At 41.6% G+C, this 11,699-nt stretch overlaps 1 protein-coding gene across 8 annotated transcripts, besides 1 other annotated feature; it reads right to left on the reverse strand.

The window, feature by feature from the left end:
- Window positions 1,468-10,810, reverse strand: PDCD2 (programmed cell death 2). 8 transcript variants are annotated; one of them, NM_001199462.2, is made up of 7 exons: window positions 10,665-10,810; window positions 10,472-10,565; window positions 9,678-9,920; window positions 9,230-9,361; window positions 6,175-6,278; window positions 5,030-5,143; window positions 1,468-3,890 (listed from the first exon to the last, which is right to left on the reverse strand). In NM_001199462.2, exons 1-7 carry the CDS (start codon window positions 10,752-10,754, stop codon window positions 3,732-3,734), a joined length of 936 nt encoding a protein of 311 aa, NP_001186391.1. In that variant the 5' UTR covers window positions 10,755-10,810; the 3' UTR covers window positions 1,468-3,731. The 8 variants fall into 8 exon arrangements, with proteins under 8 accessions (NP_001186391.1, NP_002589.2, NP_001350584.1 ...); NM_002598.4 differs by having other exon boundaries at window positions 10,472-10,810; NM_001363655.2 differs by lacking the exon at window positions 1,468-3,890 and adding an exon at window positions 4,655-4,829 and having other exon boundaries at window positions 10,472-10,810.
- Window positions 10,540-10,779: a silencer, noted in NCBI's record as "silent region_17802". NCBI's record gives its function as "represses an Ori minimal core promoter by ATAC-STARR-seq in GM12878 lymphoblastoid cells {active_cell/tissue: GM12878}" and the evidence as "EXISTENCE:reporter gene assay evidence [ECO:0000049][PMID:35858748]".

An 11,699-nucleotide genomic window follows, 5' to 3' on the forward strand; every position in this document is an offset into this window, starting at 1 on the left:
CCTTTTCTTGCATTTTCCAATCATTAGTGATGCCAATAATGTATGGATTAATTGGAAAGACATCATTCCAATATTATCTCCTATCTAAGAAAGAAGTATCTCTTCATGTATGTAGGTCTTATGTTCCTCAGTAAAGTTTTGTACTTTTTTTCACACAGGGCTTTTATATTTCATAAGTATTACTTCCTTAATTCCTAAGTATAGTATCATTTCTGTTTTATTACTGGAAGTTTTTCCTAACACTTTAAAAGTTATTGTTGATAATATTTTTCTTATTCCGAGTTTACTGAACTCCTATTACTGCTGATTTAGTTGATTGCATTGAAAGTTCTAGGCATGTAATCATCTGTAAATAGTAATTTTATGTTTTCCTTTCCAACATTTATTTTTCCTATCAGTGCCTAGGACTTTAATGTATATAACTTAAAAAAAACATCTCTTAGAGTTGTAGCTACATATACAGGAAATCTAACAAATGTGTAGCATAATGTATTATACAAAGGCAGACACCCTTGCAGCCACCAACAAGGTCAAGAAACAATTTTGCTGCCTGTCCTAGAAGCCCCTCCTTATGGTCCTATCCAGACACACACTTCTGGCTTCCCTCAAGCAGTGACTATTATCCTGACTCTCACGCATTTAAAGATAATTGAAGTTCCTCGTCCATCTCTTTTCTTTCCAATTTACAGGCCATTTAGTGTGTAGAGCTTCTCATAGTCTGGGGTTTGCTAGTTGGAAATTCATGGTGTAGTTTCCCTATTCTCTGTATTTCCTGCAAATTGGAAGCTGCTGTGTAATTCCTAGATCTATTAATTCATTAGTGGGTTGCAAAATGACATTTTAGTCATTTCATTTCTTTTTCATTTATTAATTTGAATACTTTTATAAAGTGTTGTGCTCCATATAGCAGAATACTTTCCCCTTTTAAGTTTTCAAGATAAAATGAGTTCATATTAATATGTCCAATTCAAAGCTCATAGGGTTATTTTACCAATTGTATATCCAATTCAAATTCAAAGCTTATAGGGTTTTTATTTAACCAATTCTGTATTACACTCTTCCTTCTACACTGAGAATTTTTAATTCTTAAAGACATAGGGGATGAGGAATTAGAATGTCCCATAATTACTCATTTACTTTACGTATTTACTTTATCATTACTTTATCTGTTATATGTGCAATTTTTTTTGAGACACGGTCTCTGTTGCCCAGGCTGGAGTGCAGTGGCACAATCATGGTTTGCTGCAGTCTCAAACTCCTGGGCTCAAGTGATCCACCTCAGCCTCTGGAGTAGCTAGCCAGGACTACGGGTGCACACCAACACACCCAGCTAATTTTTTTTAATTTTTGTAGAGACAAAGTCACTCAACTGTTGCCCAGGCTGTTCTTGAACTCTTAGGCTCAAGCCATCCTCCCACCTCCACCATAACATTCTTAAGAGTAACAAAAACACTATCACCAATATGATTGCCAAAAACACTTGGAACTTTTTTTTTTTTTGCTGTGATATCTGAAATTGCCAAAGGATATTCAGTATCTGAAATAAAAAGGCAAAGCTGAATATGCTGCTCTCTACAGCAGAGGGAGCTGCTGTGGCTGGACAGTATCTGAACCAAGCAGATCTTAAAACTTTGTAGGTGTTGAGAAATGGTGGATGCATGGACTGGCACCGTCTGTGGAGCCATGATTATGTAGGTGAGACTTGCTCATTATCTTGTAGTGTTTTAAAATGTCTTCACATTTCTAAAGGCAACTTGCTTAATGCATTTTTTAATTTAAATTTTTTATGTTGTACAGTTTATTTTAAATATAGTTGCTATTTTTTAACACAGATGCCAAGTCGGTGCTGTGAGATTTTCTTTCTGGTGATTTGGACCAGTTTGTCTCCCTCTTGATATATCCATCCCAAATGGAAAGGCCCTGTAAACTGTTACGATCATCTCCAGAGGTTAACTGGAATATACACCAATGACAGCTTGCCTGGGTATGCCAAAATACCTGCAAGAATGTCCACATCATCTGGTGATGTCCCCAAATAACAGTTTTTACCATAGAAAGATCGTTAACATGTTTGCTTTAAAAGTCATTAGCAGTCATAACGTACTTACAGATTCTGCCTATAAGGAATAATACATAATTTTAGATATAAAGGCCCCACTAGTCCAGGTTTCCTTATGCCACTGTGCTTCCTACTAAGTGTTGCGACCAGCTCTTGTCACTAGTTGATGACAACTTACTCCAGTAGCCACAGGGCTGTGACACCATAGTTATAGGTGATTTTCATAGATTTAGCCATCCCAGGTTCGAAACTAGTATCCTCTAGCTCTTAAGTAGCTGATAACCTCCCCATGGGAGAAACTCCATACTGCAGTTTCCCATATGGTGCTATGTATAACTATCTTATACAATTAATACAAATTGCATATGTATACTTATATAATATGGACTACTAGGACAGAACTTTTTAAATTACAAATAAAATAGCCAAGTAGACAATTACATTAGCAAGTGATGTTACCTATGAAAACGTGAGGATTTATGGTGGCAATGCATTTCAGTTAACAGGGATGTGTTAGGGGACAATGTGAGCCAATGTAGATTAAGGAAATAAGCCTGAGAAATTTATCAGAATTAGCCGTCAGTATTCAAGCACTGATCAACAGCAATGTGTCTTAAGGGCAGGCATCACTGGTGCTGAGAGAACTGGGAATTGTCAACTGTGAGCTGCTAGGGGATGGAAGAAACCTTAGTGTAGTCTTAGGAGCCGCTTGCTTAAACAGATGTATCAGAAACATAATAGGCCAAGGGTCAGCCCTTTGAAAACTGACTTCAGGGCCTTCCTTTCCTCAGGCTGCTGCCTCCTAGGCCAGACCCTTATTTTGGCTTACATTCCATAACCCTTGTATGTGCGATAGGGAACCTGTATACAATGCTGACACGGAAAGGGAAGACCATCGCCTTTTGCCTTTCAGTGTCTCATCTGTAAGCAGGGCCGCTGGCTGACCAAGATCAGTTCTGAAGGTCCAGCCTCTTTAAATTCCAGTTCTGTGATCACAAAGCCACTGTTGTTCCTCATCCTGCCAACTGTGATACTGCTGCTTCAGAATTACTGGGTTTCCTGTTCATCATACTCACCAACCTGAGGTTTGGTATTTCTCAAATATTCTGGGCTTCCAGTACATACTAGAGCCTGTGATAATCAGCTAATGATCAGACAAGTTTGTTGGGAGTTTTACCTAAGTATTTTTGTGTTTTAAAAACCTAGGGTGGGAAATGCTCAGAGTGAGATGGTTTGACTTCATTAGGCATATAACCCATTTTTATTATAAAAAGAAATGCACATATAAGTAAAAAGACCATTTTAGTTAGTCCCACCATTCGTTGGTAACCAGTTCACTAAGTGTACATCTTTGCAGATTTCTGTGCATACATACAAATATTTTTACAAGAATAGGATCATACCATGAATACCACCTATAATGGTATGTCTGTTGTCAATATAGGTGTTATAATTAAGACTGTGTAGCCTTCCTCTGTGGATGTACCAAAATTTATTTAATTCCCTGTCACTGGACACTTTTGTTTCACTAATAAGTAGACACTGTGTAAGCAATCTGTCAACATCTCTGCACCTCTATTTTTGGTATAAGTATTTCCTTAGGATAAAATCCCAGAAATGGAATTGCAAGGTATAAAAGATTATTAACATTTTTCAAGGCTTTAAGATGCCTTTACGGTGTATCTGTTACATCCTGCTTCCACACAAATTCTTCTGTATAGCCAGTACCCAAGCTGCAGCTCTCAGCACAGGTGAAGACAGCCAGGATGCCCCAGTCAATGCTCTTGCCCAGTCTGTCAGCCTTCAGGTAGTTTAGGAGCTGAGGCATGACCTGAGAAGAGGGTGACACACAGTTAGAAAGCTGCTTCACAGCAGGGAGCACGAGACCTTCTCAGCCAGGATGATTATAGGGATCTTGGTCTTTCAATCCTCATACTACAAAGCAGGATTATAGACATTATACAATTAACATGTTTAACAATCTAAAACTTCCTTATGACTTCAAAGCCCCTCTCACCTTCTGTTTGGTCTTTTCCATTTGAGAAAGAAGTTCACAAGTGGCTGTTAATGAATTATTTTCATTACTAATATGCCACTCAAAAGGGCTGAGGCTTCTATTTGGGCAACTTTTACTTTGTATCATTGCAGATGTTGTTACTCTTGACTCAAGAAACACTAATTACTAGTAATGAATACAGAAAGGACATCTATCAATGTAGTTATAGAGACCAGAGAGGAATCTTAGAAGTAGTCTAACTCAAAGAGTGAATAGGCAGAATAGCCACCTGATATGGAATCACTTTATACAAATCCTGTCACCTCAATTTGGACATTGAGAGCTTTGGCACTAAGAACCAAGCAGAGTTTTGTGTATGGTCCTCATAATTCCTTTTTTACCCAAAGAAACAAACCAATATTAGCTATGACTTTGGTAAGGTTAGTGAATCCATAGCTCAAGAGCATTTCCACCCTACCCAAATGGATTTTGATGCTAACAAATCCTTTTGGGCAGGGAAGGACATTTATCTTTAATGCTTATATCCATTTTTTCTAACAAATCCACAAACCAAGATTAAACAGTAAAGACTCCTCTCATAAAGTATATAGTCAAAGACTTTAATTACTAGAACAAGAAAGGAAGGTATACATTATTTAAAATAACAAAAGTTAACAGAGGCACTAATAATAATGACATAACCACACTGGAGGTGGAGAGCAGTGTAGATATCCTCATTGTCACAGAAGTCAGTCAATAGACCGTGTCTGAAAACTAGGAAACAGAAAAAAACAAGACAGTTCCTTCCAGGGAACTAGCCCCAAGGTGAGGCAGGAAACTGATGATTTTCATTATAGGGTACCCTTCCATACTGCCATGTTGACCCATGTGCACAAATTACCTTGGTGAAGTTTTTAATGTTTAAAAACAATCATGGTGATTACACACTAAATGGTCCTTATTTAAGGTCATACCTGGAATTCCAATATTCTCTTGGCACCACAGGGGCAATCTGGAATATCCTTTTCTTGAGGAATATTTTCACCAGAAATCCAGATGGGGGCAATACCTCTGCCATATCTAAGAATCTAAAATCAATGAAGATCATGTTCAAATAATCAATACCTTACCTATAAGTTGCCAATGGTAACATGCTATCTACTCCATGAATGTTCCTACTCTTGATGTAGCACTGACCCAAAAGGCATGTCACAGTTCCCCCATCAGACCTGGCTGTACCAGTGTGCCACTAATGCCTTCTCAATCACCTCAAAGTGATTATTTCAGTTTATCTGACTCAGAGGGCATCAAAATATATCTCCCAGATGATGCTTTTACTACCTAATGTTGGCAACTTAATCCTATGAATATATTGTGAAGGGACTAAGAATGAGCCTCTGCTCTAATTGCAGAATTCTGCCCAGAGTCTGTGCCTACCTTCATAGTTAAAAAATTTTAGGAGGGACAAATACCAAGTGAAACATAGTGTTTTGAAAACTACTACAAACATAAGTAAATTTCACTGTAATAAGCTTCCTACAGCAACTGAGTGGTTTTCTGTATTTTGTCTAAAAGCATATGCATTGCTAAAAACTGCCTTAGTGTTTAAGACCTAGATCTATTCTTCCTGTGTATTTATTTGAACCAGTGACTGGTTTATGGGAGTTTAGTTTTCTTTCGTGATTTACGTTTATGGTAGGGGAGGTTAAGGAGAAAAATGTTAACATGTCACATTTTACAAGCCAAAGTTACCTGTTGGAAATGGGCAAAAATAACCTTTTTTCTTTCTGGCGGGGGGGCCAATGGTGCCTAAACCTCATGTACCTTAGGCAACATCTCATTCATCTCCCATCCCTGATGCTTGCTTTAGAAAATGAACCCTGTATGATAAACAGTATAACCTTTAGTCTTTTAGTAACTATTAAATGGATCAGCACTGCAAAACACCTTTCTACATGGCCCATCTGTGTGAGGAACTCCTCTAACAAGATAACAAAAGCCTGCTTTTATAGGCTCCTAAGGAACAGACTAATGTTACTATGAAGTTATTTCTTACAGATTATACTCATAAAACATGGCCTGAAGAGAACACGATGAGGAGCTATGAGCTCCACTTTACCTGTTCTGGTTCAAGGGCTATCTGAGTTTTAAACTTCTGAAAAATTTTATCTTCCCTGGATTCATGTTTTGCCATGGAATCCAGTTCTTCCTCAAGTGCTTCACCTGAAAAATCAACGTAACTATTATGAAAAACAGGAGTAATCCCCACAACTTGACAATTCACACATGGAGAGGGGACCCACTTTTAATCAGATAGCTTTCCCTATTTATTCACTCATTCAAGTTGGACCATCTGAATTTCCAGGTACTCCATCCAACTCTATTATATGGACTTCCATTTAGTGCATCTCCTTAAAGCTTCAAAATAACAGAATGGTCAAGGGCTTAGGACTGCCCAGCACATCACAGGACACCCAACAAATGTGAGCCCTTATCATTAGTATCCTCAGCTGGTAGGCTCACTCACTCAGTCATCAAGTGTTCATTTCTGGCCTGGAGCAGTGGCTCACGCCTGTAATCCCAGTACTTTGGGAGGCCGAGGCGGGCAGATCACCTGAGGTCAGGAGTTCAAGACCAGCCTGGCCAACATGGTGAAATCCCGTATCTACTAAAAATATAAAAATTAGCCAGACGTGGTGGTAGGTGCCTGTAATCCCAGCTACTCGGGAGGCTGAGGCAGGAGAGTCACTTGAACCTGGGAGGCAGAGGCTGCAGTGAACCGAGATGGTGACATTGCACTCCAGCCTGGGCGACAGAGTGAGACTCCGTCTCAAAAAAAAAAATGTTCATTTCCTTCTCCACATTCCTTCCTGGGATTACAGCCACCCTAAGCCACTGCTGTCCCCAACAGACCCGTGTCTCTAAGTATAACCATTAGTCTTTGTAATGTACGTTAAAATAGAACTGATATACCTTGGGTCAGAGAAGCTAAAATAACTGCTTTGATGAAACTGGAAAGGCACTGATGGTGTTCACTTGCACCATCAGGTCTGATGGAGGAAGTGTAGGATGCCTTCAGATTGATGTTCCATCAAGTATACGTGGAAAGTTTCAGTATAACCGTTAGGACACTGTAAATGCTGTTCCCTCAGGCCCTACTGCCTCCTGCCAAGTCTCAGGTAAGACACAGCTACCTCCAGGAAGCATTTTTCTATTCAATTCTCCTTTTATTTTAGAAAATTTTGGACATACAGAAAAGTGGAAATACTATAATGAACCGCCACATATCATTAATCAGTTTCAACACTATCAAGTCCAGTGTTTCCTTTCTCTGCCACTTCCACCTCCATTACTCTGAAGTAAATTCCACACATATCACTTCATTCATAATTAAGTTATGTACCCCTCGAAGGCAAACTCTTTCCTTTTATTTACCAATTTGAAAATGAGTCTGTTCCCAAGTATCCTATAAAGATGATTACTGAGTTTTTTTAAAGTATCATTTTGAACCCATTAAACATATCTGATGCAGTTAGCGTCCTTGTGGATGTTCAAACTGTCCATCTTTTGCAAGCAGGAGCCTTTTCATGTTGCTTGAGTTCTGACATGGCCCTAGTAATCCTTATCCTTAATCTTTGATATGACCATGTTCCCACATTATATGAACGTTTCCTGACCTAGTTCTGGAATCAACCACCTCTCCAAAGAGCCTGGAGTTCCTTTTAGAGAGAAATGGTACGTAGACACAATCAACATTATCTTCCTCCTACGCCCAACATCTCAGTTCTCAGTAACACCAACATAATTACTCGTTTCCTTTCCCCCCAATACACACACAACCATCTCAAAATAAAAGCAACAGTCTAGTAATAACATGTTTATTCAAAATACTAACACTGTTACATTCTTTTCATTCTCAGGGCATATTCTACTAGAGATGTACTGTCCTATGTTTTGAAGTCACCTGGAAGAGTTCTTAGTGTGGTTATATGACTACATCAAGAGTTTTTTACTTTTGATGATTAGGGACTGCTTTTTAAAACTTACTTTACTCCATAATCTTAAAATACTCATACAGTTCCACAGTCACATTTACACTAACAAGGCATATTTGAAGTCCAGCTTTCATCCTTGATCCTGCTACTCTAGGCTCTCCTTTCTCCTAAAGATAAGCATTTTCATTATGTATCATGTTTATCGTATAGGCATGAACACACGCGCGGCCCCTTCCAGGCAGTCTTCAGTGATGTCACGTGTTCCCATGGCACCTGTATTGTACTCTTATCAGTCATTATATGGACTTTAACTTCCCCAGATATTATTTGGGCTCCTCCATAAGACTGTGAGCATCTGACCACTGGAGTGTTGCTTCCCATTATATCCCTGTTATCAAGCACAAGGTCAGGCACAGAGTAAGACTCAAAACATGTTTTGGAATGTATGACTGGTATGAACTACAAACCAGTAAGCTGATGTTTTCATTTTGAGTCTATAAATCTAATTTTGTGGTGGTTTTGTGTATGGCTCAAGGCTCAAATTGTAAAATTTAATATTATGTGACCAAAGAAAGTTATACCCAGAACCTCAATTTCCTCACCTTCAAAATGGGGCAGTTTCTCACTCATTGGTCTGCTGTCACGATTTTAATGAGCTCATGCACAAACAGCCCTTTATATAAGGTAAGTGCTGGATAAATGTTGGCTACTATAATAAAATAAGCCTCTAAGATACTTGGTCAGCACAAGTACTACCCAAGAGTATGCACTGTAAGTAAACTGACAAAATTGTGTATCTAAAACTGGCCAGATGAAAGAGAAACTTTTAAGGGGCCCTTCTGCGTGCCCGACACTGTGCTAGGCACTCACACTATCCCGACCCGAGAAACCGATCTGCGACCCAGAGGAACTTACCAAGCCTCCAGCATCTTGTGCAGCCCTACTCATGGGACCATCTGGATACCCACCCTTGTCTTTACAGGGAGCAGAACACACCTCTTATGTGTCAGAAAACAAAGTCCAGGAAGTATATTTTTACCTGAGGCAATATCTGAAAATTGTATGCTACAGCCTCCAAAGTGAGTCTTCCTCTCAGTACCTCTCTTCTAGGCACATGGAGCCCTTTCTTCCAAGTATTATGTTTAACCACTTAATGAATGAAGTCCTGAAACTGCTTACCCATGCTCCCTATAATCTCTGAGTAATCTTCCTTTTCCACAACCTCAGGCATAATCTCATCTTCTGTTTCTATTACAATTTCAAATTCTGGAAAAAGGAAGTTGTGGTCTGGAATTATATGGTCCAGATGATCTGAAACAAAAAGGACAGCACTATTAGTAATCATTTAGTTTTGAAGACAGTCTAATAATTTGCTGTCTCTAAAGTACTATATTCCCTATAGTTCTGGCATTTTAGATAAAGGGTCATAAATTAAATGCCTATATGGTGACATTATTCAGTGATTCAGACTTCACAGCCTTTTTTTTTTTTTTACAAAGGTGTTCCAGGCATGAAAAATTTTAAAGTACTATACCTTTCCTAATTTTACCTTTAAAGTTGTCCTGGAAATATCTGGGTTGACAAAGGCGATGAAACTGAACTGAGACTTAAAAAAAAGATTACCCACCTGGTTGTGCACAAGCCTGCTTATGTCCCAATCTCCAGTCTAGGGTCTGATGCTCCTTGCTGCAGTAATATGCTTTGTGGCATCTGGAGCACGTTTTGGGGCCTAAACAGCCACAAACCCTGCAGAGATGAGCACCAGACTTAAGCTGGAGACACACTGATTCTCCTGTTTCTGGGGGAGGATTCTCAGAAGGTGGCTCATATGAGTAAAAATCGTTTTTCCTGGGTAGTTGATTCCTAAAAACTAAAAAAGAATACAGAGAAAAGTTTTATCTTCAAACAAAACAGCAATTCACATATTTTATCCTCTGCACGTAAAACTGAAAATAACAACAACAAAAAAGAAATGAAAGTTTTTGCTTTCAGGAATAAGCTTTTAAAATCCAGAAACTAGATTTCGTCCGGTACACGCAACTGAGTTGCCTCCTAGAGGTGGTTTGAGTTAATCAAATTAATAAGACTGATCGTTAAGAACGACTGCCAAAAATACGAAAAAGCTACTGGGATCCATCTTTCCAAGACAATTTCTATTATCTGAATTAACACCATACCTGGTACCCACTGATTAAAAGCTGGGGGTTACCAATGCGCGTGGGCACAGTTAGAAGCTTATGTAGCAAAAATGAGCACATCCTGGAAGGGCCCGGGAGAAGGTGCTCCTGGGGCAGCGCGGAGAGGGAGCTCTGAGGCTGGGGCGGCAGCGGTGCTTGCCGCCGTCCCCCTGGTCGCTCCCGGAATTAACGCCGCGCACGCGTCGGAGGCATGGCCCCGTCCCGACCCCGTTTGGCGGCTCACCTCGCAGGCCGGCACAGCACGGCTGCTCGCGGCAGCAGAAGAGGAAGATGCAGCGGTGGAAGGCGTCCGGGCGGCCAGGCAGCGGCGCATACACCTGCAGCAGGAAGGAGAGCGGGCGGCCGCACAGCTCGCAGGCCAGGGCCTGGGGCCCCGGCAGCCCGGCCGCGCCCAGCCATGCCGGCCGCCCGCCCACCTTGCTGGGGAACTGCTCGCTGCGCAGTCGCCACGCCGGCGCCGACTCGGCGAAGCCCAGCTCCACAGGCCTGGCCCCGGCGGCAGCCATGCGGGGCGCGGGCTGGCGTGGGGCGCAGCCCACAGCTGGGTCGGAAGGCGGAAATCGGGCGCCGGGCCGGAAGGCAAGAGGCGGGCACCTTTCCGGAGGACAGGAGGCGGAAACGCGTCTGACGGGAGCGGTTGCAGGACCAATGCGAGGGAACGGGGCAGAGGAAACCTCTCGGCATCAGCCCCGCCCCTGGCGCCTCTGCCTCCGAGCCGCTTTCCTGGTGCCTCCGGGTGCTCTGGGATGGTTCTGGTCTTTGGGAGAGTGGCAGCTGGTGACGGCGCTCCGCTCACCTCTGCACATGTCTTGCTGTGGGCCTGCGGGTGGCCGCCAGGGAGGCAGAGCCCTCCCGCAAACCTTCCCTGCTGGTGTCCACCTCAGGGTGTGGGAAACCTGTGCGCTGGCCGAGTGCTAACCAAGAGTAGGCAGTGAAAGACAAATGAAGGTTGAACAGGTAAAGTGAGGACCCTACAGCGGAAACCAAGAATCCTGTGTGCCTGAGAGTAATGAAGAAGCCTCTGCAGAAGAGTCTTTTCTGTCAGTCTTAAGGTCTCTGTTTTAATGTTAGTGCTGGCTTGCTGTACCTGAATTCCAAGGGAGGAGTGTATAATGAGGCATGGCCAACCCCCACTTCCCATCATTGCCTGAACTAGTTTTTCAGGTTAACTTCAGAATGCCCTTGGGCAAGCAGAGGGTCCATCAGTCGGTTGGAGGGTTTAGAATTTTACTGTTGGTTTGCAAAGGTCTGAAAGAAACATGTACCACCTGTTCTCTTTAAGGAGTTCTACTTAGGAGGTTTCATTTACATAACAAGACCGTGGTTGTCAGCCAGGTCTCCACCCGCATAACCTGTTATGCCACAATCCAAACCCCCATTCTGTAACCTCAAGATGGTATATAAGTTTCTGAACCCCATTTGGGGCTTCAGCAAAATCACTCTGGTTCTCC

The sequence above is a fragment of the Homo sapiens genome, chromosome 6, assembly GCF_000001405.40.
Source record: "Homo sapiens chromosome 6, GRCh38.p14 Primary Assembly".
NCBI classification, from domain to species: Eukaryota; Metazoa; Chordata; class Mammalia; order Primates; family Hominidae; genus Homo; species Homo sapiens.

Coding starts and splice junctions, on each gene's coding strand:
- PDCD2 (NM_002598.4), bottom strand. CDS start 10,754: ATGGCTGCCGCCGGGGCCAGGCCTGTGGAGCTGGGCTTCGCCGAGTCG. Junction 9,921..10,471: donor GTGCTGTGCCGGCCTGCGAG/GTGAGCCGCCAA, acceptor ATTCTTTTTTAG/TTTTTAGGAATCAACTACCC. Junction 5,144..6,174: donor TAGCCCTTGAACCAGAACAG/GTAAAGTGGAGC, acceptor CATTGATTTTAG/ATTCTTAGATATGGCAGAGG.